General features: G+C 51.4%; 1 protein-coding gene across 1 annotated transcript; it reads right to left on the reverse strand.

Moving 5' to 3' along the window:
• Window positions 1-271: 271 nt before the first annotated feature.
• On the reverse strand, window positions 272-25,282 carry LOC105378947 (proline-rich extensin-like protein EPR1). The gene is made up of 6 exons (XM_011542538.1): window positions 25,097-25,282; window positions 23,068-24,735; window positions 21,940-22,041; window positions 15,383-15,562; window positions 806-940; window positions 272-343 (listed from the first exon to the last, which is right to left on the reverse strand). Exons 1-5 carry the CDS (start codon window positions 25,280-25,282, stop codon window positions 824-826), a joined length of 2,253 nt encoding a protein of 750 aa, XP_011540840.1. The 3' UTR covers window positions 272-343; window positions 806-823.
• Window positions 25,283-27,312: the final 2,030 nt, after the last annotated feature.

Here is a 27,312-nt window from a genome sequence, read left to right on the forward strand (position 1 = left end):
TTCTCAAAGTTGGATGTGTGCATTTTCCTGAGAGGAAAGCTTTCCCACATTATTCAGCTTCTGAAAGGGTTGCTTGACCCACAGATGTGAAGCTGAGGCTGAAGGAGACTGATGTGGTTTCTCCTCAGTTTCTCTGTGCGGCACCAGGTGGCAGCAGAGGTCAGCAAGGCAAACCCGAGCCCGGGGATGCGGGGTGGGGGCAGCTACGTCCTCTCTTGAGCTACAGCAGATTCACTCTGTTCTGTTTCATTGTTGCTTAGTTTGCGTTTTGTTTCTCCAACTTTGTGCCTCATCAGGAAAAGCTTTGGATCACAATTCCCAGTGCTGAAGAAAAGGCCAAACTCTGGAAAAAATTTTGAATATTTTGAGCCAAATGTGAGGACCACAACCTGTGAGAACGGAAAATAAATCCTGGGACCCCAGACTCACTAAGCCAAAGGGAAAAGCCAAGCTGGGAACTGGCTTATGCAAACCTGCTTCCCATCTGGTTCCTAAATAAGATAGCTATTACACAAAGATAAAAAAGCTACATCCCTGCCTCTACCTCCCTCGCATGTAAAATGTGTATTCAGTGAACACTGACCAAAGACAGAAGAATGCAACCATTTGCCTCTGATTTACCCACACCCATTTTTTCCACTTCTTCCCCTTTCCCCAATACCCGCACTTTTCCCCTTTACTTACTGAGGCCCCCAGACAATCTTTGGGAAAAGCACGGACCACAGTTTTTCCTGTGGTTCTCTGTTCTTTTCTCAGGTGTGTCCTTAACCTTGCAAATAGATTTCTTGAAATGATTGACACTCACCTTGGTTGTGTTCTTTGATCAGCGCCTGTGACGCAGCTTCAGGAGGTCCTGAGAACGTGTGCACAGTTTAGTCGGCAGAAACTTAGGGAAACGTAAGACCACCATCAGTACGTAGGAGTTGTGCATTGGTTTGGTCTGGAAGGAGGAAAATTCAAAGTAATGGGGCTTACAGGTCATAGATAGATTCAAAGATTTTCTGATTGTCAATTGATTGAAAGAATTATTATCTACAGACCTGCTATCAATAGAAAGGAGAGTCTGAGTTAAGATAAGAGACTGTGGAGACCAAGGTTCTTATTATGTAGATGAAGTTTCATAGGTGGCCACCCTTAGAGAAAATAGATGGCAAATGTTTCCTGTTCAGACCCATAGAAGGTGCTAGACTCTCAGCCAATGTCTTCAGGATCAGAGAAAGACCTGGAAAGGGAAGGGATTCTCTACAGAATGTAAATGTCCCCCACAAGAGACAGCTTGGCAGGGCCATTTCAAAGTATGTCAAAGAAATATATTTTGAGGTAAAATATTGATTTCACGGCCTCTGTCTGTCATGTGATGCTGCACTGGAGTCAGGTTGGAATTTGGTATCTTATTGCTAGAGAGCCTTGTCAGTCTTCAGATCTCTGTTTTAATGTTGGTTCTGGTCAGTTCTGCCCAAATTCCAAAGGGAGGAGGGTACAATGAGGCCTGTCCAGCCCCCACTCCTCCTCATCACGGCCTGAACTAGTTCTTCAGGTTTCTCTGGAATCCCTTTGGCCCAGAGGCGGGGTCCACGCAATCGGCTGTGGGGCTTAGAATTTTATTCTTGGTTTACGGAAGCTTTAGGGAGGTGCTCTGAGACCCGAAACTAGACTCGACTTTAACAGACACAGACGACCCTGAAGGTGAGACTGTCTGCTGGTGGGATGCTGGGCGAGTTGCTTAATGTCCCTGAGCTGCTATTTGCTAACTGTGAAGTGGGATCCTGGTCCCTGACAGGCAAGATTGTGGCACACGGAGAGCTGGTGCACGTGGGCGGCTGTCCCCTAAACTCGCGTCCCTTCTTTTTAATCATACCCCACTGGCTGCACCTACACCTCCTCCCAGGCACACACCGAAGAGGATGAGCTCTGGTCCTCGAACCTCTTGTCTGCTCCCACCAGGCAGATTCTCTGTTCCCCGTGCCCAGGCAGCAGTGGTGGACACCAGCATCCCGGAATGGTGTAGAAAGGCTGACCCCGTCATAGCCAAAGCCTGGGGTCTCCTGTTTCCCTCCTCCTCCTCCCCACTCCTCTCCCGACCCCTCCCTCCTCCACTTACCCCCATCCCCTGCATAATGGGTTTCTAGCTGCCTCCTCTGCCTGCCCAAACAGGACAGGCAGGAAAAACTGGCTTGGTTCTGAGTAGGCAGTTTCAGGGCCTTAAGGAGAAATTCATCGGCCATTAATCAGGACCTTCCCTCCGGGGAGTTGGCAGCTTCAGGTGTGGTCTCTGGAAACAAGCCCCACAAATTATTATCAGAGAACCTCTGTCTTGGGTGGCAGAGGCAGCCTGGTTGGGGTGGGCACCCCGGCTACGGAAAGGAGCAGCTCCCTCCACTTTCCTTCCGGCTGCCTGTGGAGAGGCTCGAGCGGGGCACAGTCCATGACGAGATATTAATCTTGTGTTTGGATTTTTCCTTTTTTTTAATAAAGAAGAAAGATAAGGTATTGTGCTCATCTTGTAAAAATCAAGCACACAGTACATCAGTCTATTCTACAAAGAAACACAACCTAAGCAAAGATTTGTTATAGGCAGTGGCCAGTTACAGAAACAGTAGGACTTGCATTAGGGGTTTTGTATGGGAAAGAAAGGGAGTCAGACACAGACGTGATGGTGGAGACAGGGGCAGGAAGACAGAGCAGCTGACACTTCCAGAAATAGCTGGCCAGAGGCCAGCAGGAGGGAAACACCGACCCGAGGAAAGAGAGACGGGGATTGGGAGAGAAATTCAGAAAAGATTGAGGCACGCACACAGACAGACACACCCACCCACACACAGATACGGATTCAAAGAGACACGCACACTCTGAGTTTCTGAGAGTAAGCCACTGTCAGTTCCTGGGGTGAGCCACCAGCCACATGGACACAATTTCCTCTTTTTGGTAAGTTCTTTGACCTGTCTGAACCCCCTACTTAATTACCTATAAAATGAGTCATTGCAAGGATGACAAAGACGCTCTCCTTGACCAAACTCCATTCAGGCTCCTTTGAGCCTTCTCCTTGATGAAGCCTCATCCTTGGCCTGCTGAGCTCAGTGCTAGCAAGGAATGCTGCTAAGGTCCTTAGTGAGAATCTTCCCCACCCTTGCTAACTAACCAAGCTCCTTTCAACAACTTTTCATCACCTCCCTCACCCTGCTCATTGGCTATCCCCACTTGTCTCTGTTGTATTGAGAGTTGAATTCAGTCTCTCTCTCTCCTCTTGCAATAGTTTTTTTTTTTTTTTTAAGAGACAGGGCCTTGCTCTGTCAACCAGGTTGGAGTGCAGTAGCACAATCACAGCTCACAGCAGCCTCAAACTCCTAGGCTCAAAGGATCCTCCCACCTCAGCCTCCTGCGTAGTTGGGACTACAGGTGTGTGCCACTGCACCAAATAATTTTTTAAAACATTGTAGAGATGGGGTCCTGCTTTGTTGCCAAGGCTGGTTTTGAAGTCCTGGCTTCAAGTGATCCTCCCACCTGGGCCTCCAAAGGTACTGGGATTACAGGCATGAGCCAACCTATCAGCCTGGTAATCACGTAAAACAGACACATAGACCAGTGGAACAGAATAGAGAACCCAGATATAAATCCACACATTTACAGCCAGCTCATCTTCAGCAAAGGCACCAACAACATACGAGCGAAAGGACGGTCTCTTCCATAAGTGGTGCAGGGGAAACTAGATAAAGATATGCAGAAGAATGAAACTAGACCCATCTCTCTTACCATACACAGAAATCAAATAAAAATGGATTAAAGGTAAAACTGAGACCTGAAAGTATAAAACTACTGGAAGAAAACATTAGGGAAGTGCTCCAGGACATTGTTCTCAGCAAAGACTTTTTCAGTAGGACCCCAAAAGCACAGGCAACCAAAGCAAAAACAGACAAGTGAAATCACACCAAGCTAAGAACCCTCTGCAGATCAAAGGAAAAAGTCAACAAACTGAAGAGACAACCCACAGAATGGGAGAAAATACTTGCAAGCTACCCACCTGACAAGGGATTCATAACCAGGAGCTCAAACAATAGCAAACAATTAATCGAATTTTAAAATGGGCAAGAGACCTGAGTAGACATTTCTCAAAAGATGTACAAATGGCCAGCAGGTACATGAAAAAATGCTCAACATCACTAATCATCAGAGAAACGCAAATAAAAAACTGCAATGAGGTCTTCTCTCACCTCAGTTAAAATGGCTTTCGTCAAAAACGCAGGGAATAAGGGATGCTGGCGAGGATGTGGAGAAAGGGGGACCCTCACACACTGTTGTGGGAACATTGATTAGTACAACCACTATGGAAAACAGATGGAGGCTCCTCAAAAAACTAAAAGGGGCTGGGCCCGGTGGCTCACGCCTGTGGTCCCAGCACTTTGGGAGGCCAAAGCAGGGGGATCACAAGGTCAGGAGTTTGAGACCAGCCTGGCCAACATGATGAAACCCCATCTCTACTAAAAATATAAAAAATTAGCCAGGCGTGGTGGTGCGACCCTGTAATCCCAGCTACTTGGGAGACTGAGGCAGGAGAATCACTGGAACACAGGAGGTGGAGATTGCGGTGAGCGGAGAGCGCACCATTGCACTCCAGCCTGGGTGACAGAGCAAGACTCCACCTTAAAAAATAAATAAATAAAAGTTGGCCGGGCGCGGTGTCTCACACCTGTAATCCCAGCACTTTGGGAGGTGGAGGCGGGCGGATCACAAGGTCAGGAGATCGAGACCATCCTGGCCAACATGGTGAAATCCCGTCTCTACTAAAATACAAAAAATTAGCTGGGCGTGGTGGTGCGCACCTATAAATCCCAGCTACTCGGGAGGCTGAGGCAGGGGAATCGCTTAAACACAGGAACCCGGGAGGCAGAGGTTGCAGTGAGCCAAGATCACACCACTGCACACCAGCCTAGTGACAGAGCAAGACTCCATCTCCAAAAACAAACAAACAAACAAAAAACACCTAAAAGTAAAACTGCTGTATGATCCAGTAATTTCACTAACTGGGCATATAGTCAAAAGAAACAAAATCAATATATCGTAAAGACATCTGCACTCTCATGTTTACTGCGGGACTACTCACAATCGCCAAAATACGGAATCAGCCTCTGAGTTCATCAGCGGATGATGGATAAACAGAACGTGGTGTGTATACACAGTGGAATATTCTTCAGCCATACAGAGGAATGACAGCCTGTTATTTGTACAAGACGGAACTAGGGATCATTATGTTAAGTGAAATAAGCCAAGCACAGAAAGACAAACATTGAATGTTCTCACCCACCTACTAAAAAAGTAGCTCTCGTGAAGATAGAGGGTAGACGCCTGGTTACCAGAGGTGGGGAAATGTAGCGGGGAGAGGGGGAGAAAGAGAAGTTGATTAAAGGGTACAAATACGTGGTTTGATAGAAGGAATAAGACGGGCCGGGTGCGGTGGCTCACGCCTGTAATCCCAGCACTTTGGGAGGCCGAGGTGGGCGGATCACGAGGTCAGAAGATCGAGACCATCCTGGCTAACACGGTGAAACCCCGTCTCTACTAAAAATACAAAAAATTAGCTGGGCATGGTGGTGGGCGCCTGTAGTCCCAGCTACTTGGGAGGCTGAGGCAGGAGAATGGCGTGAACCCGGGAGGCGGAGCTTGCAGTGAGCCGAGATCCCGCCACTGCACTCCAGCCTGAGCGACAGAGTGAGACTCTGTCTCAAAAAAAAAAAAAAAAAAGAAGGAATAAGACCTAGTGTTACATAGATCATAGTTGACAATTGCCTACTGTATATTTCAAAATAGCTAGAAGAGAAGAATCGGAACGGTTCTAGCATAAAGCAAAAACAAATATTTAAGGCGATAGATATTCCAAGTAGGCTGATTTGATTTTCACAATTATATGAATGCATTAAACTATCACATGTACCCTGAAACTATGTACATCTATTATGCATCAATAAAAAAGAAAAAAGAAACAAGAACTTAGATTTTAAACTCAGCACTCTCCTAGTGGGCTCCTTAAAAATATTTTTGTTTGGGAGGACAAAGTAGGAGGATTCCTTGAGCCCGGGAGCTTGAGGCTGCAGTGAGATCGTGCCACTGCACTCCAGCCTGAGCGACAGAGAGATACACTGGCTCTAAATATAAATAATATAAATATATATTTATGGAATAAATAAATGAATAAAATATCTTTGCATGCTGGTGAGCCCAGGGTACAGTCCGCCCTTGGCAGCTCGGTGACACAGCCAAGGCAGCTGAACAATCCTCGCCCACTAGACAGTGGAGGTCGCCCTCCAGAGGACCTTATCAGATGTACGTGCAAAGCAGTTTTCAAGACAGTTTTCTATTCAGAGTGTGGTTTAGCCGTTCAGGGAGAGAGATCACAAAGGAAAACCACCTTTAGGAAAGCAGGTGAGAAAGGTGTAAGTTCCCAGGCTTGGGGGTCCTGGCCCAGCCTAGCTGTGGGCAACCCCGGGAAGGCTGAGCCCCGCAGGCTGTATGGACAAAGCATCTCGCTTTCCACACTGGCCACAGGTCTATCCCTGGCAGTAAACAGGTCACAGGTGGGCAGGAGGTCTAACACCTGTAGCGAAAGAACGCAGGAGAGGAACTGAGGCTCTGCTACCAGCAGATGCTCCAAGCACATCTCACGGGGAGGACCATGCACAACTCAGCTGGCCACAACCAGGAAAAGGGTGCCCAGGGCCTCAGAGCTGCTTCAGTGGGGCCATTTCCAGGCTCCCAAGCAGTAAGGTGGGTGCCCTCTCAAGAACAGAAGCGGAACAGCCTAACGCTAATGTTTGGGAAGAAGAGAACAGTGATCCCCCTGGTTACCTCCCATCTCTCTCTGCAGTTCTCATGCATCTGTGCACACACGCTCACACACACATATGTCCATCAATCCACTCACAATGTTTGACTTAAAGCAGAAACCATATAAAGGGCAGGATAAGGAGAAAAGATGAAAGGAACTGAAAAGATGCAAACAGCCACTAACACGCCAATTTGCACCTTGCACAGGGCCTGGGAAGTAATGGCACGGCTTCTCGTTATGCATCAATGATCTCATGTTTTCATTTTAACAAACACCCTAATACAAAAATATGCTTTATAGGGAGGAGAGAAAATATGTTTTATAGGGAGGAGAGAAAAGCCATTCTGAAGAGCTGGATAGGTTGCCTTTGGCCCACATGGAGTCAGCCCCCTGCCCACGCCACCAGGCTCACGTTCAGGGCCCTCGCTGGAGAAACCTGAGCTGCAGGACCCGCTGCCCACCAATGCAGAAGAGAAGGCAGTATGCTTTTTGCATTGGGTGGAACAAAAACAGAAGAAATGGGAATTTGGTGAGAAATAAGGGAGGTGGTCCTCAGAATCTGCAGAGCAGTGGCTTCCAAACTGTGTGATGCAACCCCAGCCAGAAAAACACTTTACATCATGGCTGAGGGCACATACGTGCACGCACATATGCACAATACAGGAAATCTGGAATACAGAAAGCCCTGGAATTCCTAAATAACATCCTGCCCACATGGGAATTCTGCCCTAGCTGATGGCTTCTCTGAGGCCTAGGCCCAAATCCACACCTGCTGTTTAGCCCAGAGCCAAGCCTGGGGGTGTAGGGTCCCCTATGCATGGGTGTCCAACCCCATCCCTGTCCGGAATAGCACGGGTGCTTCTCAGTGCCACAAATGTTGGTGGCGGCTGGGGAGGAGTGGTTCCTCCAAGGCTCCACGCCTGCCTCCACCACTGAGGCCAGCACGGTGGGACTGGGCTAGGGAGACAGGCAGGCTGGCCTACCCACTGAAGGAGCCAGTCTGCTTCCACCTAGTCAGCAGCTCCAGGGAGCGCATCTCCCTCCAGGAAGGGCAGGAGGCCAAGAGGAGCTGGAAAGGTGGGCATTTGATATCATGAGGTATAAAGAGAGCTCCTAGGGGTCCCAGACATCAACTAATAAAAGCACCTCAGAAGTTCATAGATGGGGAAATAGCTGTGTGAATATACCGTGTTATCCAAGTCATGCGGAGAGGAAGGGCTCGAACCCATGGCTACTACTCCCCACCCCCGTCCTCCTCCTCCTCTTTCCATTAAGTTTTTGTGATTATGAAAGTAGCTTACATTTGGTGTAGAAAATATGGAACATATGGAAAAATTTAAAAAGACTCAGGCAAAGGGTCATGTGTCACTTATGACCAGAGGCCGTTGCTCTTTATTAACAGATGGAAATGTTTTCTTCCAAATTGTGCTGCACGTTTTTGGCGAGAGCATGGGGCTGTGCGGCGTCCCCTCCCTGGCGCCCACCTGTGCCCTGCACACTGGCCTGCACTGTGGTGATCTCGCTTGGCCCCCACCTGATTCCTGACATACAGCAGAGGAAGCTTAGGCTCAGGTGGAACAGCCTCAACTGATTCAGTCCCTGAACTTCCGTACACAGCCCTGGAGTCGTCTTAGAGCCATGATTTATTTAACTGTTCTTTCATTTTACAGAACATAAAATGTATTGTTTCCAACTTTTTTCCTATGGTAAATAATACTAAAGTAAATATCTCTGTGCATGAATCTTTTTGTATATGTTGGAATATCCTTAAGATAAGGCCCCAGAACTAAAAGTACCCTGTCAAAGGGTGAGCATTTCCGGTTCCCCTGCTGTGCTTTGCTGCGTTGTTCTCCCCTGCTGCAACGTTCTCACTCCACAATCCTGGGGCAGGTAGGGGAGGCCCAGCTGAGTTTGGATCATAATCCTGAAAGACACAATCCCAAGCACCATAATGTGGAATGTTGAAATCCCTAAAGATCAAAATCCCTCAAGTCTAAAATCCCTGATATTTCAGATGACCACAGCTATAGGGCTAGGTGCACACAATTAGTAACCGTAGTGATATACGTGTACACGTTTCTCTTTTGACTTATTTCTTTATGGTCTGTCTTCTTATAACTGCTACACCCATGCCACCGTCATTAGTTACCTCAGTGTTTATGCAAAAATACCTGTTATCGTTGCCTATTTTATTGTGTAAAGTGGCCTATGAAATGTTCTGTTGTGTTTTTATGTTTCTCAAATACATACCTTTTAAAAATGTAAATAAATAACATCGACATTATTTTTTCCAGATTTATACTTTTGGGATTTTGATCTTTGGGATTTCAGGATGAGGTATTCGGAGCTGTGTCTTTGGGGATGATGACTGGCTCCTGTGCCGTCCCACCCATCTTTGCGGCATGGGACCTTGGCATCCCCACCTCGGCCCTGGCTCTACCTGCCCTCACAATGGACCAGGCCAACTCAGTCAATGTGGAGGCAGCATCAGGTAGACCTGGGGCTGAAACTCAACACTGGTGTTCACCTTGACCTAGCTTCTCTGAGCCTCAAGGTCCTCATCTGGACACCAGTGGGGTTAGGGGCTGAGGCACATCAGCACTAAGCAGGAGAGCTCATCGTTGCCATGCATCAGCTGTGGCTCTAGAGCCGAGACGCTCCCAGCTGTGTAGGCTTCCCAGCAGTGCAGACCCCTCTCTAGAGCCGAGATGCTCCCGGCAGTGCAGGCCCCTCTCTAGAGCCGAGACGCTCCCGGCCGTGTAGGCCCCTCTAGAGCCAAGACGCTGCAGGGTTAATCAGGGCTGCCCAACAGTCCATCCCCTCTTCTCTCTCTGAAATCAAGAAACATTCCGAATTCCAAAATGCAACTGGTCCCAAGTGTTTCAGTTAAGGGACTGTGGCCCTGTGTAATGCCAGGCAGTGACAAGGACTGTGACTGGGAGCCATCGTAAGTCGATGCTGAGTGCCAAAGGGAGGAAAGGAGGCAGCGGTCCTTAAAGGGCCCACTGAGCTCAGATCCCACGTCTGAGCCTCCGCCTTTCCGTGCAGTCCCGGAGATGGCACACAGCCTTCTGCACGAACCGCAATGAGCTGGGCTCCCTCATCACCGCTAGGAGCACTCTGAGAAAGCAGGGCCATTCCACGGGGTTCTGCAGGAGAACGGCGAAGGGTGCTGTTCAACCTGCTCAGTCAGTTGCTAGGTGAGGAGAATTTAGTATTCATAAGTGAAAATTTCTAAGTTACTGGAATTAATTATGGGGTTTGATTCTACATCATCCAGAAAAGCCTGGATGCCACACAGACTCAATGCTGAAAGCTCCCAGTGCACCTGCACAAACACACCCACACATGCACCCATATCATATACACACGTGCAAACATGTTCACATTCACACTCACTCCTACATACTCGGATCATATACACATTTGTGCACACGTGTTCATATTCACACTCCTACACACCCAGATCATACACACATACACACACTTGTGCATACACATTCATGCTCACTCCCACACACCCAGATCATATACACACTCGTGCACACATGCTCACATTCACAATCACTCATACCCAGATCATACACACACTTATGCACACATTCACACTCACTCATACATACACAGATCATATACATACTTGCGCATACGTGTTCGTATTCACACTCCTACACACCCAGATCATACACACATACACACACTTGTGCATACACATTCATGCTCACTCCTACACACCCAGATCATATATACACTCGTGCACACATGTTCACATTCATGCTCACTCATACACACCGATTGTACACTCGTGCACACATTCACACTCATACACACCCAAATCATACTCACATTCATGCACACATGTTCACATTCATGCTCACTCATACACACCCAGATCATATATACACTCGTGCACACATTCACACTCATACACACCCAAATCATACTCACATTCATGCACACATGTTCACTCATGCTCACTCATACACACCCAGATCATATATACACTCGTGCACACATGTTCACATTCACACTCATACACAGCCCAAAATAATATACACATTAATGCACACAATACATATTCATACTTGCACACACCCAAATCATATACCCACTCACACACACATGTTCACATTCACACTCATACACACTCAGATCATAAATACATATGTACACATTCACATTCATACCCTCAAATCATACGCACACTAGTGTATACATGTACACACTCACACACACAAATACACACTCATACACAGTCATACACACTCACACATACCCCCAAATCATATACACACTCATGCACACCGTCACACATATAATCCAAACACACAAAAATATATGCATGCGCTCATTCATACACAATCTCACACATACATATACAGCCATGTGGGATTTTTCTGCCATTTTCAGAAATGTAAATTTTGTAGTTCCTGCTTTTTAAAGACTATAAATTATTTTTAATTTACCTTCATTCTCAATTTTGTTTGTTATAAGTAGCTTGATTGTCATACAGCATCCAACGACGCATATTTCCTTTATTTTTTTTGAGATGGAGTCTTGCTCTGTCACCCAGGCTGGAGTGCAGGGGCGCGATCTCGGCTCACTGCAACCTCTGCCTCCCGGGTTCAAGTGATTCTCCTGCCTCAGCCTCCCGAGTAGCTGGGATTACAGATGCCCATCACCACGCCCAGCTAATTTTTGTATTCTTAGTAGAGATGGGGTTTCACCATGTTGGCTAGGCTGGTCTTGAACTCCTGACCTCATGATCCACCTGCCTCGGCCTCCCAAAGTGCTGGGATTACAGGTGCGAGCCACCGTGCTCTGCATATTTTCACGTTAAAAATGTTTTATTTAAAAAAAAAAAAAAGATGTCCAGAAGAGTTGCAAAGACAGTACTGCAACTTCCCACAGACCCGTTCACCAGCTTCCTCTCACTTGAGCATCTTACACGCAATGAGGCACGTGTAGAAACTGCGACACTCACACGGGTGCCATCTCAGCAGCTCACGGTGTGGAAACTGCGACACTCACGCGGGTGCCATCTCAGCAGCTCACGGTGTGGAAACTGCGACACTCACGCGGGTGCCGTCTCAGCAGCTCACGGTGTGGAAACTGCGACACTCACGCGGGTGCCGTCTCAGCAGCTCACGGTGTGGAAACTGCGACACTCACGCGGGTGCCGTCTCAGCAGCTCACGGTGTGGAAACTGCGACACTCACGCGGGTGCCGTCTCAGCAGCTCACGGTGTGGAAACTGCGACACTCACGCGGGTGCCGTCTCAGCAGCTCACGGTGTGGAAACTGCGACACTCACGCGGGTGCCGTCTCAGCAGCTCACGGTGTGGAAACTGCGACACTCACGCGGGTGCCGTCTCAGCAGCTCACGGTGTGGAAACTGCGACACTCACGCGGGTGCCGTCTCAGCAGCTCACGGTGTGGAAACTGCGACACTCACGCGGGTGCCGTCTCAGCAGCTCACGGTGTGGAAACTGCGACACTCACGCGGGTGCCGTCTCAGCAGCTCACGGTGTGGAAACTGCGACACTCACGCGGGTGCCGTCTCAGCAGCTCACGGTGTGGAAACTGCGACACTCACGCGGGTGCCGTCTCAGCAGCTCACGGTGTGGAAACTGCGACACTCACGCGGGTGCCGTCTCAGCAGCTCACGGTGTGGAAACTGCGACACTCACGCGGGTGCCGTCTCAGCAGCTCACGGTGTGGAAACTGCGACACTCACGCGGGTGCCGTCTCAGCAGCTCACGGTGTGGAAACTGCGACACTCACACGGGTGCCGTCTCAGCAGCTCACGGTGTGGAAACTGCGACACTCACGCGGGTGCCGTCTCAGCAGCTCACGGTGTGGAAACTGCGACACTCACGCGGGTGCCGTCTCAGCAGCTCACGTCCAGGACCCCAGGCTGCACTGGCCCTCACGCCTCCTTAGTCCCCTGCACCTGTGACCCTTTCCTGGCCTGTCTTCGCTTCACCGCCTTGACAGCTTTGCAGAGTGCTGCTCAGGTATTCTGCAAGACGCCCCTCAATTGGTGTGTGTGTGATGTTCTCTCTGATTACATTGGAACTGTGCGTTTGCGGAAGAACACGGCGGGGGGGGGGGCGGCGCTCTTCTCATCACGTGCTCTCAGGGGCCACGATGTCAACATGCCTCATCACTGGTGGTCTGGACCTTGATCACACGGCCAAGGTGAGGCCTGCCAGGTCTCCCCACGGGAGAGTGACTGTTTTCCTCTCCATGTCCTGCTGGTTAAGAGTGAGTCATGAAGTCCAGCATGAGCTCCAACTCCTACAGGAAGGAGCATCAAAGAATTTGGGCACCGTGGTAATTACTGAACATTTAGGGGAGACACTTTGAGACTATACAAATATCTTCTTTCTCCTTAAACTTTGCACAGGAATTTTAGCATTCCTCAGGGGAGCTTGCCTGCAGCACTGATGGTGATTTTCTTTTTTTTCTTTTCTTTTCTTTCTTTCTTTCTTTTTTTGAGACAGAGTTTTGCTCTCATTGCCCAGGCTGGAGTGCAGTGGCACAATCTCAGCTCACTGCAACCTCCCGGGTTCAAGCGATTCTCCTGCCTCAGCCTCCCAAGTAGCTGAGATTACAGGCATGTGTCACCAGGCCCAGCTAATTTTGTATTTTTTTGTAGAGACAGGGTTTCACAATGTTGGCTAGGCTGGTCTCGAACTCCTGACCTCAGGTGATCCACCTGCCTCAGCCTCCCGAAGTGTTGAGATTACAGGCACGAGCCACTGTGCCCAGCCTGATGGTGATTTTCCCTATTTACTCCACATTTCTTGTTTGGAATTTGTTCCAAGAAAGGCCTGTCCCTTTCAGTTTTTTGTTTTGTTTTGTTTTGTTTTGTTTTTGAGACAGAGTCTTGCTCTGTCACCCCAGCTGGAGTGCATTGGCGTGATCTTGGCTCACTGCAAGCTCCACCTCCCGGGCTCACACCATTCTCCTGCCTCAGCCTCCCGAGTAGCTGGGACTACAGGCGCTCGCCACCTCGCCTGGCTACCCTTTCAGTTTTAATTTATTCAATAATTTATTTATATGCTTACAAATCCATGGACATTCATTTTATTCTTTGGGGCATAATCCGATTTGTGTGTGTGTGTGTGTGTATGTCTGTGTGAGTGTGTGTGCACTCAAATCATTGTAGCTGTGGCCACTGGGAGCTCTTACATTTTGGGTTCCATGCCCTTTTGAAATGTCCACAGCTTTTTAAAAATTTTATTTTTGAGCATTTTCTTACTTCCTGGGACTACAAGATGCTCCAGGTTCATCTTGTATTTTCTCTCCCACATCCCAATTATCAGCCATTTCTCCAGGGAGACTTGGCTCCTTTTATTGAAGATGAAATTTAGAAACTAACATCTGGGCATGGAATGTGCTTGCTGCTACTGGGGTGTCCCCTCTCAAAGGACAAACCCAGGATCTACAGATGTGTGTGCTAAGCCATGTATGTACACGCACGTGTGTGTGTATATATTTAACCTATCTGTATATATGTATTATGTAAACATGAGTTCCTGCTGGCATATCTGACTATAACTGACCACCTCAGGGTCCATTCTGATCTGTATATATGTATCATGTAAACACGACTTCCTACTGGCATATCTGACTGTAACCGACCACCTCAGGGTCCATTCCGATCTGTATATATGTATCATGTAAACATGATTTCCTACTGGCATATCTGACTATAACTGACCACCTCAGGGTTCATTCCGATCTGTATATAAGTATCATGTAAACACGAGTTCCTGCTGGCATATCTGACTGTAACCGACCTCCTCAGGGTCCATTCTGATCTGTATATATGTATCATGTAAACACGAGTTCCTGCTGGCATATCTGACTATAACCGACCACCTCAGGGTCCATTCTGATCTGTATATATGTATCATGTAAACATGAGTTCCTGCTGGCATATCTGACTATAACTGACCACCTCAGGGTCCATTCTGATCTGTATATATGTATAATATATATTATATATGGACCTCAGGGTCCATTCTGATCTGCATATATGTATAATATATATTATATATGGACCTCAGGGTCCATTCTGATCTGTATATATGTATCATGTAAACATGAGTTCCTGCTGGCATATCTGTCTATAACCGACCACCTTAGGGTCCATTCTGATCTGTATATATGTATAATATATATTATATATGGTCCTCAGGGTCCATTCTGATCTGTATATATGTATCATGTAAACATGAGTTCCTGCTGGCATATCTGTCTATAACTGACCACCTTAGGGTCCATTCTGATCTGTATACATGTATAATATATATTATATATGGACCTCAGGGTCCCCGCTGGCTTTTCCATGACTTCCTTATCCAGCTGTGAGAACCCTGACTCTTACTACTGTATTGACTTATTTGTGAAACCTTAGTATATATAAAAGTAGTTTCAAAGTTGCTAACATGTATTGCTGTGGGAAACAATTTTACCAATTGGAGTTTAGTGCTTAGATATGCAGAGTTATTTGATTCTTTCCAGAATCTAATCAAAACACTGTTTTTGGACTTACCCAGGTCAGCTCCTTTCTGCCCACTCTTTCAGCGCAGGCGTGTCCTGCTGTGGAACACACTCTGGGATTCCTGTGTGGGTCTGTACCCATCCTGTACCCGTCAGGACCCCCGGGCCCTGACTCTTGATGTTGTTCTTGCTCCTCTTGTTGATCTTGTTGTTCCCACAGTGAGGTCCAGTCCTGTGGGGTTTGACAAACACAGCATCACGTACCCAACTCTGTAGAGCCACACAGAAGACTTTCATCCCTCAAAAATGGCCCCAGTTCGGCCCCTCGGTAGTAAACTCCTCTCCCCTCACTCACCCACTGGCAAATACTGATCTGTTTCTGTCCCGATAATTGTGTCTTTCCATATACACAAAAGTGAAGTCTGAGGGTGAGGCCCATGGCCTTGGGAAGCAGGCATAAGTTGGCGGGGGTGGGCACACAGGGTCACCGCGGAAGAAGATCCATGCTGCCCACACAGCCACATGTGGGACAGGGCAGGACCAGCCCCCCAAGCTGTGAACCTCGCCCGAGGCTATGCCCCACTCTGGAGCAGAACGGCCTCTGCAGAGCTTCCACCATGCACATAGGCTGTGCACAGCCAGGCCAGGAAGGGGAGGGCCCCTGTCTGCAGAGACAGGCCCATCCTGGACAGGAGGGAACAGCATTCCAGGCAGATCCGCCACTGGCTGCTGTTCCCAGAGTGGCTGTGTCCCCTCTGCAGCGTCCATGCCGGCCTCCCCTGCCTCCCTCTGCAGCTGTCCACGCCCAGCCAGCCTCCCTGCCTCCCTCTGCAGCTGTCGCTCTCCACCCTCCTCTCCTTTCTTCTCTCCATCCCCCCTCCATCCCCCTCTCCTTTCTCCTCTCCATCCCCCTCTCCATCCCCCTCTCCATCTCCCTCTCCTTTCTCCTCTCTAGCCCCCTCTCCTTTCTCCTCTCCATCCCCCTCTCCTTTCTCCCTCTCCATCCCCCTCTCCTTTCTTCATGGCTCTTTCCCTTTCCTGCCACAACTGAACTGAGTGCAGGTGATTTTCGCTGCCTGCTGGCTTTATTCAGCTTCAACTTCTTGACTTTAAAGGTGGATGCAGGAAATGTGTGTCTTGTGTCACACATGGAAATGTTGCTGAAATAAGTTACTCTTCACTGATGTGGCCTCGAGGGTTTTCTGCTGGGTTTCTGGACCTTGTAAGCAAAGCAGACCCTCACCCGACTGACCTCCTGGCTGTGACGATGTGTGTTTCTATCCCACACAGGGAGGGTGTTTATGGTCTGAAGTGAGGCCTCTCATTAACTCCTCAAGAGTCGATTGAAGCACAATTTATTAGAGCCCAGAAATCATGGCAATCCATTCCCACAAGCACACAGCACAGCTAAACCAGCTCCAAGGAGGGTCCGAGTGTCCACAACTGCACCCCAGGCCCATTGTGCCTGCCGCTGGAGAGTGTGGGGCCCCTTGGCCCCTAAAGGTTTGCTGAGAAGTCACTGACATGAGACAGATGGATTAATAGGAGAAACGGTATGCAAATTTATGTGATGTGTACATATAAGAACCTTTAGAACGAAGACCCAACGATGGGGGAAATTGTCCATTTTTATGTTTAGGTTTAATAACGTATGAACAGTCCTCTAAAAAAAGGATTGGACACAAAGGGCTTGATCTAATGTGAATAGACTGAGTGGGAACCCAGCAAGGTCTGTCTAGATTTGTCTTCATCTCTGAGCATTTTCTTCTCTGGACGTGGGGCAGGGCCCTCTCTGGAATGACAGTCTCATGACCTACAGTCAAACAAGGGATGTTGGATCATTTCTCTCTAGTCAGCTCTTATATAGAAAGGTAGACAGAAAACTGAGTAATATTTTTAGGTTTTCTGACCAGCTTTGGGGAGAAGGGGTTCTGATTTCTGTGACCGGCCTTGGGGAAAAAGAGAGTCTGGTTTCTACAGCGCCTTCAGGGAGAATGAGACTGAGAGACAGGAGGGCAGGAGAAGGTCAGAGACAACTTTTGCTTCTGAGGCTGCTGCTGAGGACTTCATTTTGGGGCGTTGTTTTCTGAGCCCCAACAGAAGGAAGGAAGCCTCTCCCTCCAGGGGTCAGTCCTGGGCCTCAAGGGCACCCTCGAAGCAGGCAGCTCAGCTCACAGAGCTCCCCTCAGCCATGTCCTCCACCTGCCCTTCCTTGGTCCAGCACCTCACCTGCACACACCTGTCTGGAGAGTCCCCAAGGTTGGAGAGCTGCTGAGTCAGCTGGGCCGAGCACACAGCGCAACACTTCCTTGTGCCTCCTAACCAGGATGGGCGACACCAGCCCATTTTATGGATGGGACAAGAAGAAGCTGGGCTGACAAGCCCAACATAGTGGAGCCAGCAACAGGCTTTTACTCTCCTCTCTGTCTCTTTGTCTCTCTCCCCCACCGCACCTCCATCCGCTCCATTCTCCTCTCTGCACATCAGCTTCCCAGACAATATTCTTGGTTTCTGTGGCTCCCAAACTGAAGCTTCCCCACAGTGGCTGCAACTATCCAGACCTGGGGCCACACTTGGGCCTCCAGGCAGGGGATCTAGTGATCACATTCTGGTCATGTCATCAGGCCAACTTGGCTGAGCTCTGCCCTCCTTATCTCTCTTCTCCCCTCGAGCCCTCACCCTGGTTACCTGCACAAGTAAACTTGCCCCTAACTGACCCCCTTTTCTCCCTCCATGTCCCTCAATACAACACTAACTCTGGCAAAAAAGACCAGCCTGGCCAGGTGCGGTGTCTCACGCCTGTAATCCCAGCACTTTGGGAGGCCGAGGCGGGCAGATCACAAGGTCAGGACATCAAGACCATCCTGGCTAACACGGTGAAACCCCGTCTCTACTAAAAATACAAAAAATTAGCCAGGCATGGTGGCAGGCACCTGTAGTCCCAGCTACGCGCAAGGCTGAGGCAGGAGAATGGCGTGAACCCGGGAGGCGGTGCTTGCAGTGAGCCGAGATGGTGCCACTGCACTCCAGCCTGGGCGACAGCGAGACTCCGTCTCAAAAAAAAAAAAAAAAAAGACCAGCCTGAAGCAGAGATTGGGTCCCAGCCTGGCTCTGCCTGGCCCTCTGCTCCCGCTTCACCTCACAGACAGAACGCTGCCCTGTGGAGGGGTCCCCGGACCCTTTGGTGGGTGCCAAGCGGGTATGGAGGCCAAGGCCTGAGTGGTGAGAATAGTCCAGGGGCTAGCGCTGCGTGGGGAGGGCGAGCTCAGAGAGCAGGGGAGCCTGACCCTGCAGGTCAAGACTTCTGTCTGAGAGAAATGAAAAGCTGGGGATTTTAAGCAAAGGAATGCCTTGACCCAACCCTCACAACTTACATAATAATTAACTTAAAAGGAATCATAAGTTTAAACAGAAAATCTATATAAGAGGTTTACAGTTTAATTTAAAAACTATAATAGGTTTATAGTTTTTAAATTAAAATTTTAAATATAGTGGTTTATAAAACTTTGAGAAGAAAACATAAAATCCCTATGAATGCTGCAAAAGTCACTGTTGAGAGAATGAAAACACAAGACATAGAGTTGGAGAAAATATTTGTGAATCTCATATCTGGCAAAGGAATTGTATCTAGAATACATAAAGAACTCTCAAAATCCAACAGTAAAAACACCAAATAATCCAGTTACAAACCGGGGAAGGATTTGAACAGATGCGTCACCAAGCAAGGGATATGGATGGGAAATAAGCTTCCATCAGCCACCAGGGAGATGCAAATTACAGCCACTAGGAAACGCTTTTCATTCATTCCGGGATGGCTGAAATGTAAGCACGGAAAATGCTGGGTGCCCGCAAGAACGCGGAGCAGCAGGCACTCATTCCCGATTAGCGGGAGCGCAAAGCGAAGGGGCGGCCTGTGGCGTTTTCCTGTAAAGTTGGGCACACGCTTCCCACATGACTCAGCAATTGCACTTCTGGGTATGTACCCGAGAGAAACAAAAGCTTATGTTCACACAAAAACCTACAACGCAAATGCACAAACAGCTCTATCCAACAACCCTGGAAGCAACCCAAACACGCTTCAGCGGCACAGGCGCCTCCACGCGGAACCCCACGCGGCGCTCAGCACGGACGAGGAGGGAGCCGCGCACGCGCGGTCGGCTCGGCGAGGAGCCGGTCTCCAAGTGCCGCCAGCTGCGGGATTTCCTCTGCAAAAGACAAACCACAGGGAGAGCTGCCGGGGCTGGGTGGGGGAGCGTGACTGTGAACGGAGTTCTGGGGGTGATGTAACTGTTCTGTATCCACAGTGTTGCTACATGAATCTATAAATGTGTTAAACTCATAGAACTGTACACCGAAAAATAGCAGTTTTGCTGAATGTTAATTCAGAAATGAAATTAAAATTTTAAATTAACAACAAGCAACTTTACAAGAGAAAAAAAAAAACCTCATTTCCTCCCCACAAAGCCACCTCATGAGCCTGGGTGGTGCCTAGCCAGTCCTGCTGCTGAACCTGCTCTGACCTGGCCTAAGGGTAGGACTCGAGGCTGGGAGCCAAGGGCCAACCACAGGACAGGCAGCAAGACCCGCTTCGCTGGTCTGTCACACACACCGCACCAAGTCGGTGTTCAGGATAAACCGGGGCACACTCTGAGCTGGGCCTGTCTCCGGCTTCAACCAAAAAGCCTGAGCTCTGGCAGGTGAAGGACCAGACGTTTCTGTGGGGCTATGGACTTGTCTGGGAGGCAGCCACCTCTAAGCCACCCAGGATGGTTTCGGTTGTGTTTGGATGGAGTTCTGAGTTTTGCCAGTTAAAATTCCCCCTTCAGGAGCTCTCTATGGGGGTAAAGTGCAAGATTTGGGGTAGAAAAATGACAAGTCAGAGGACTGGAAGGAACATTATGGACTGTCCTCCCTTCTGCCTGAAGAGATGGGGAGACTCTCCCAGGCCATGTGGAAGACCTCACAGGGGGACCAACTGCTGCCTTTCAGCCTGGCCGAGGGAAGAGCCCCTGACTCAGCCTCCGCAGGAGGAGGTGGGCTGGAACCAAGTTTCCCTGCATCAATCCAGGCAGGCAGCCCCGAACAGTGCACTCCAACATGGGATAGTGAGCCAGCTTGGGGGACAGCAGCTGTCTAAACAGGAGCATGCAACCCCCGTGCTGAGAGTTCCCCAGGGTCACGACTACCCAGAGTCAGAGCTGCCCAGGGTCACAGCTACTCGAGGTCAGAGCTGCCCCAGATCAGGGCTGCCCAAGGTCAGAGCTGTCCTGGGTCAGAGCTGCCCATGGTCAGAGCTGTCCTGGGCATCAGAGGCGCAGAGGTGGGAAGGGCTGGCTTCAGGTGGGAGTTATAGGTGGGAGTTATGCTACAAAGGGTCTTGAAGGCCAGTGTTGTTGACAGGGTAGGGTGCCTGGGTAATAGCAGAGGAAGAAAAAGGCTTAGAGTTGGAGGGAAAAACATGGAGTTGGGGGAGTGCACCTGCCCCCTCAGAGACCACAAAGCCTCCCCAGGGCTGGGCTGTGGCTGCTGGAGCTCCCAGACCATGCCAAGTGTCAGAGCCTGGGCAAGACCCTCTGGGGCAGCCCGGAACCACCAGAGGTCAGAGCTGGAGGAGGCTCAGCTGGGGCCCTTGCACCAGGCAGGAGGCCCAGAAAAGAGACAGTGCTCTTGAACTGCAGGAAGGCAGCTCCGTAGAGAGGCAAATCTCACTCCAGCTCGGGCAATACTCAACTACACGGACGTGGATGCTCTCAAGGGGGCTTTGGGGCATGTGGTGTCGGCATTGGACCCAAATATGGGCTCAAAGCTTTCCTTTACCATATTCCTTCTACATTTTTCTTGCAGATTGAGAAGGGATAGGGAGGAGTTTAGGGAAGTGAGTGAAGCAGGAAGATGTTGACCAAGGGAAGTTAATTCCATAAAGAGGAGGATGAGGGGACAGAAAGGCAGGAGGAAGAGGAGGAGGAGAATCTTTGCACAGGGGGTGTCAGCTGATGGGGGCAGCATGGGTGCCCATGGAGCCCTTTAGGGGTCGTTGGTTGTGTGCAGAGAGGCCACAGCAGGCGAGGCAGGCAGTGTCTACCACCCCCAAGGAGACACCAAGAATCCCTGTCCTTAGGAAGTCCCCTCTTCCTCCTCTTGAGTCTCATCTCGGAAAGAGGGAGCTGTCAGTCAGAGCTCAGGCCAAACACTGGGGCTAATAGGGGTGAGAGCAGGGACCTGTGGGGTCCTCACCACTGTCCCCTTCTCACCTTTCTGGCTCAGGCCAGGCTCAGCCCCCAGTGGTCTATTGTCTTTCTATCTGTCATCTATCTACCTACCCACCTATCTAACCATGCCATCTATTTCATCTATTTTTATCTATCAACCATCTATCATATATCTACCTACCTACCTTTCCATCTATCATCTAGTTCATCTATTGCTATCTATTATCTAATTTGCCTATCAAGTATCTATCCATCATCTATTTCTATCATCTATCCATCACCTGTTACCTATCACCCATATACCACCTATCCCTATCTATCATCTATCTAGCCAGCAATCCACCCATCATCTACTTCATCTATTTCTACCCGTCTCCCACCCCCTCTCCCCACCCCTCACCAGAGAGTATGCAAGCACGACCACGTCAACAGGCCCTGAAGTCACAGGTTCACACAGCACGTTTTCTGCTCCATCACGTGTATGGGGCAGGGGGCAGCAGAGCTGGGGGAGAAGAGATAAAGGAATTATGTCAAACAGGGACTGTCTTGTCTGCCCCAAGGGCCTTTCCTCATCTATAAAGCAGATTTTTCTTGTAGAGCACCACGAGAGCTGTGAAATGGGAGTGAGGGGTGAGGCAGGCCATGGGGCCTTCCACAAGGTGGGCAAGATGGTTGTCTCTGGGGAACCAGCTGGCCAGAGGGGGCCAAGTGCCAACCGGTCTGGATGAGAGCAAAGCAGCAGGCAGAAGGTTACAGAGGCAAGTGTCGGCACCAGGGGTGAACGCTGGGATTTTTCAAATCCAAGAGGCATTTCAAGTAAGGGGAAAACCTCCCCCGGGGCTGGGCTGAGAAGCTAGTCGGGTGATGGGATGAGTGAGAATGACAAGTTGCGTCTGATTGTCCTGGAGACCTGGCTGAGAACTCTGTGTGAGTGTCTTAGGTAGACGGTTACACTTGTTTTCAGTGAGAGTCAGTTTCCATAGAGAACTGCATGGTAGTCACCAAGAACCGAGGGGGCCCAGGAATGCCCCAGCAGTGGTCTGGAAGGGCTTGTGGGGCTGAGCAGGAGGTGGGTGGGGACCGGGTGCAGGCAGAGGGAATTCAAGGGTACAGAGGCAGAGAGATGGTGCCGCCTGGGGAACGCAGCGCACCCAGGACAGAACAGGCCTGAGAGCCACACACACTCACAGCGGCTTCCCAGAGTGTTTGTTTTCTATGTACCAAGATGCTCCCCCAAACCCTCTGCAGCCTGTTCCCTGCCTTGGGGGTCCTGAGGGCCACCCTTCGGGTATGGGGTTCAGGTCGCTATTCCTTTCTCGATGCCCCTGGTGTGTCCATGGGATGAGCTGACTGGCCCACCTAGTGGGAGCCTGTGCACCACGGTTCGTGTGGCCCAGGGGAGGAGGTTTTGCCTTTCCTGGACCCCACTTTATGAAAGGAAAGCCTGAACCCCTGGGCCAGCTAGGGGAGTGAGCTAGGGTGGAGGGCAGTGCTGGTCATGGAGGGCAGTGTCCAGCCCTCTGCTCACCAGCTCCAAGAGTGATTCTGGAAACGGAGCCCAGTCCCTGGGCCCAAACCTTTGCCTCTGTCCTTCTTTCTCTCTACAAATTAGAGGCCACATCCCTGGCCGCTGAAGCCTTGTACCCTGACCCACTGTCTGAACCTGATGGAGTCTAAATGCAGTGAGCGGGTGCCAGCCTTCCCTGGAGCTCTGCAGAGGCAAGGAGGGGGTGGATGGAAAGACGGGAGTCCCTCCCCTTAGGTGAGGGGGGGAACTAGGGCCCGGGGAGATGCCCAGGCCTGGCGGCCGGCACACGCGGGTTCTCTGTGGCCAGCAGGCGGCGCTGCAGGAGAGGAGATGCCCAGGCCTGGCGGCCGGCGCACGCGGGTTCTCTGTGGCCAGCAGGCGGCGCTGCAGGAGAGGAGATGCCCAGGCCAGGCGGCCGGCGCACGCGGGTTCTCTGTGGCCAGCAGGCGGCGCTGCAGGAGAGGAGATGCCCAGGCCTGGCGGCCGGCGCACGCGGGTTCTCTGTGGCCAGCAGGCGGCGCTGCAGGAGAGGAGATGCCCAGGCCTGGCGGCACACGCGGGTTCTCTGTGGCCAGCAGGCGGCGCTGCAGGAGAGGAGATGCCCAGGCCTGGCGGCCGGCGCACGCGGGTTCTCTGTGGCCAGCAGGCGGCGCTGCAGGAGAGGAGATGCCCAGGCCTGGCGGCCGGCGCACGCGGGTTCTCTGTGGCCAGCAGGCGGCGCTGCAGGAGAGGAGATGCCCAGGCCTGGCGGCCGGCGCACGCGGGTTCTCTGTGGCCAGCAGGCGGCGCTGCAGGAGAGGAGATGCCCAGGCCAGGCGGCCGGCGCACGCGGGTTCTCTGTGGCCAGCAGGCGGTGCTGCAGGAGAGGAGATGCCCAGGCCTGGCGGCCGGCGCACGCGGGTTCTCTGTGGCCAGCAGGCGGCGCTGCAGGAGAGGAGATGCCCAGGCCTGGCGGCCGGCGCACGCGGGTTCTCTGTGGCCAGCAGGCGGCGCTGCAGGAGAGGAGATGCCCAGGCCTGGCGGCACACGCGGGTTCTCTGTGGCCAGCAGGCGGCGCTGCAGGAGAGGAGATGCCCAGGCCTGGCGGCCGGCGCACGCGGGTTCTCTGTGGCCAGCAGGCGGCGCTGCAGGAGAGGAGATGCCCAGGCCTGGCGGCCGGCGCACGCGGGTTCTCTGTGGCCAGCAGGCGGCGCTGCAGGAGAGGAGATGCCCAGGCCTGGCGGCCGGCGCACGCGGGTTCTCTGTGGCCAGCAGGCGGCGCTGCAGGAGAGGAGATGCCCAGGCCAGGCGGCCGGCGCACGCGGGTTCTCTGTGGCCAGCAGGCGGTGCTGCAGGAGAGGAGATGCCCAGGCCTGGCGGCCGGCGCACGCGGGTTCTCTGTGGCCAGCAGGCGGCGCTGCAGGAGAGGAGATGCCCAGGCCAGGCGGCCGGCGCACGCGGGTTCTCTGTGGCCAGCAGGCGGTGCTGCAGGAGAGGAGATGCCCAGGCCTGGCGGCCGGCGCACGCGGGTTCTCTGTGGCCAGCAGGCGGCGCTGCAGGAGAGGAGATGCCCAGGCCTGGCGGCCGGCGCACGCGGGTTCTCTGTGGCCAGCAGGCGGCGCTGCAGGAGGGGAGATGCCCAGGCCTGGCGGCCGGCGCACGTGGGCTCTCTGTGGCCAGCAGGCGGCGCTGCAGGAGAGCTCAGGAGCAGGGGCCTGGGCCTGCTCCGGGGGAATCCGCCCACCCCACCGCGGCGGCCTCTCCTGAGGTTCCCTAGTGGCCGCGAAGGGTGGGCTCAGGGTGAGGGGTCAGGCCACACCAGTGGGTGCGGGGATGGCTGCGGCCACGGGAGGGCGTCCAGGGAGGAGGCCGGAGCTCAGGCCCACTCTGCACACCCAGCCCGCCACCTCCCCCGGCTCTCTCTTCCTTCGTGCACATTCTGGGGCTCATGCTTCTGCTGTGGTCCCATTTAGCCAACCTGGCCAGCCTTTCATGCCTGCTTCATGGGTGAGACGTGGAGGCCAGGTCAGCCGCAGAGCCCGGGGCACACGCCGCAGCCAGCACAGCAGCAGGTGGGCGTCTGCGGCCGGGGCCAGCGCAGGGCCCACTGGGCCTCGGAGGGGCCTCCCTGCCGACTCTGCCCCCGTCCTGTGGCCGTAAGTCCACCCAGAGCGCTCGATCTTCCGTCCACCAGGCCAGGGATGCGCGCAGAGTAAGGATGTGTGTGTCTACGCATGTGGGGGTGTGGGTGTGACAGGGTGTGTTCTGTGTGAGAACATGTGTGTAGTGTCCACATGTCCTCTGTGCGTGAGTCCCTGTGTGTGATGTTGTGTTCTCGGTGTGAGTTCATGGGTGTGATGGGGTGTGTGCTGTGTGAGAACGTGTGTGTAGTGTCCACATGTCCTCTGTGCGTGAGTCCCTGTGTGTGATGTTGTGTTCTTGGTGTGAGTTCATGGGTGTGACGGGGTGTGCTGTGTGAGAACGTGTGTGTAGTGTTCACATGTCCTCTGTGCGTGAGTCCCCGTGTGTGATGTTGTGTTCTCGGTGTGAGTTCATGGGTGTGACGGGGTGTGTGCTGTGTGAGAACGTGTGTGTAGTGTCCACATGTCCTCTGTGCGTGAGTCCCCGTGTGTGATGTTGTGTTCTCGGTGTGAGTTCATGGGTGTGACGGGGTGTGTGCTGTGTGAGAACGTGTGTGTAGTGTCCACATGTCCTCTGTGCGTGAGTCCCTGTGTGTGATGTTGTGTTCTCGGTGTGAGTTCATGGGTGTGACGGGGTGTGTGCTGTGTGAGAACGTGTGTGTAGTGTCCACATGTCCTCTGTGCGTGAGTCCCCGTGTGTGATGTTGTGTTCTCGGTGTGAGTTCATGGGTGTGACGGGGTGTGTGCTGTGTGAGAACGTGTGTGTAGTGTCCACATGTCCTCTGTGCGTGAGTCCCCGTGTGTGATGTTGTGTTCTCGGTGTGAGTTCATGGGTGTGACGGGGTGTGTGCTGTGTGAGAACGTGTGTGTAGTGTCCACATGTCCTCTGTGCGTGAGTCCCCGTGTGTGATGTTGTGTTCTCGGTGTGAGTTCATGGGTGTGACGGGGTGTGTGCTGTGTGAGAACGTGTGTGTAGTGTCCACATGTCCTCTGTGCATGAGTCCCTGTGTGTGATGTTGTGTTCTCGGTGTGAGTTCATGGGTGTGACGGGGTGTGCTGTGTGAGAACGTGTGTGTAGTGTCCACATGTCCTCTGTGCGTGAGTCCCTGTGTGTGATGTTGTGTTCTCGGTGTGAGTTCATGGGTGTGACGGGGTGTGCTGTGTGAGAACGTGTGTGTAGTGTTCACATGTCCTCTGTGCGTGAGTCCCTGTGTGTGATGTTGTGTTCTCGGTGTGAGTTCATGGGTGTGACGGGGCGTGTGCTGTGTGAGAACATGTGTGTAGTGTTCATATGTTCTCAGTGTGAGTTCATGTGTGTGACGGGGTGTGCTGTGTGAGAACCCGTGTGCAGTGAGATCGTCCCCAAAGGTAGTTCAAAGCTGGGGCCCTTTCATTTGCCAGGATCTAACCCAGCTACTCAGGAGGCTGAGGCAGGAGGATCACTTTAGGCCAGGATTTTGAGAGCAGCCTGGACAATATAGTGAGACCCTGTCTCTACAAAAAAATTTTAAAAATTAGCCGAATGTGGTGGGGCATGCCTGTAGTCCCAGCTACTCCGGAGGCTGAGGTGGGAGGATTGCTTGAGCCCAGGAGTTTGAGGTTATAGTGAGTAGTGATGGCATCCCTGCCCTCTATCCTGGACGACAGACCAAGAGTCCAGCCCTAAAAAAAAAATTTAATTAAAAATTTTTAAATCTTTAAAAATTAAAAATCTTAAATTTTTCTTTAAGATTTATAAGAGGACTCAGTAAAGGCTGTGCTGGCAATAACATCAAACTACTGAATTCTTTAAGAACTCCTTGGAGATTATTATTTTGCATGACATAACTAAATATCTTAATGATTGACTTAATTACTTAGATGTCAGTCTGTATGTTTTTGGTGTCGTAAGTACAAAGCTTAGAACTGCTACTTTTAGGGCCAGGAGCAGTGGCTAACGCCTGTAATCACAACACTTTGGGAGGCTCAGTCAGGCGGATCACCTGAGGTCAGGAGTTTGAAACCAGCCTGCCCAACATGGTGAAACCCCGTCTCTACTAAAAATACAAAAATTAGCCAGGCATGGTGGCAGGCACCTGTAATCCCAGCTACTTGGGAGGCTGAGGCAGGAGAATCTCTTGAACCC

Source organism: Homo sapiens, chromosome 1, assembly GCF_000001405.40.
Source record: "Homo sapiens chromosome 1, GRCh38.p14 Primary Assembly".
NCBI classification, from domain to species: domain Eukaryota; kingdom Metazoa; phylum Chordata; class Mammalia; order Primates; family Hominidae; genus Homo; species Homo sapiens.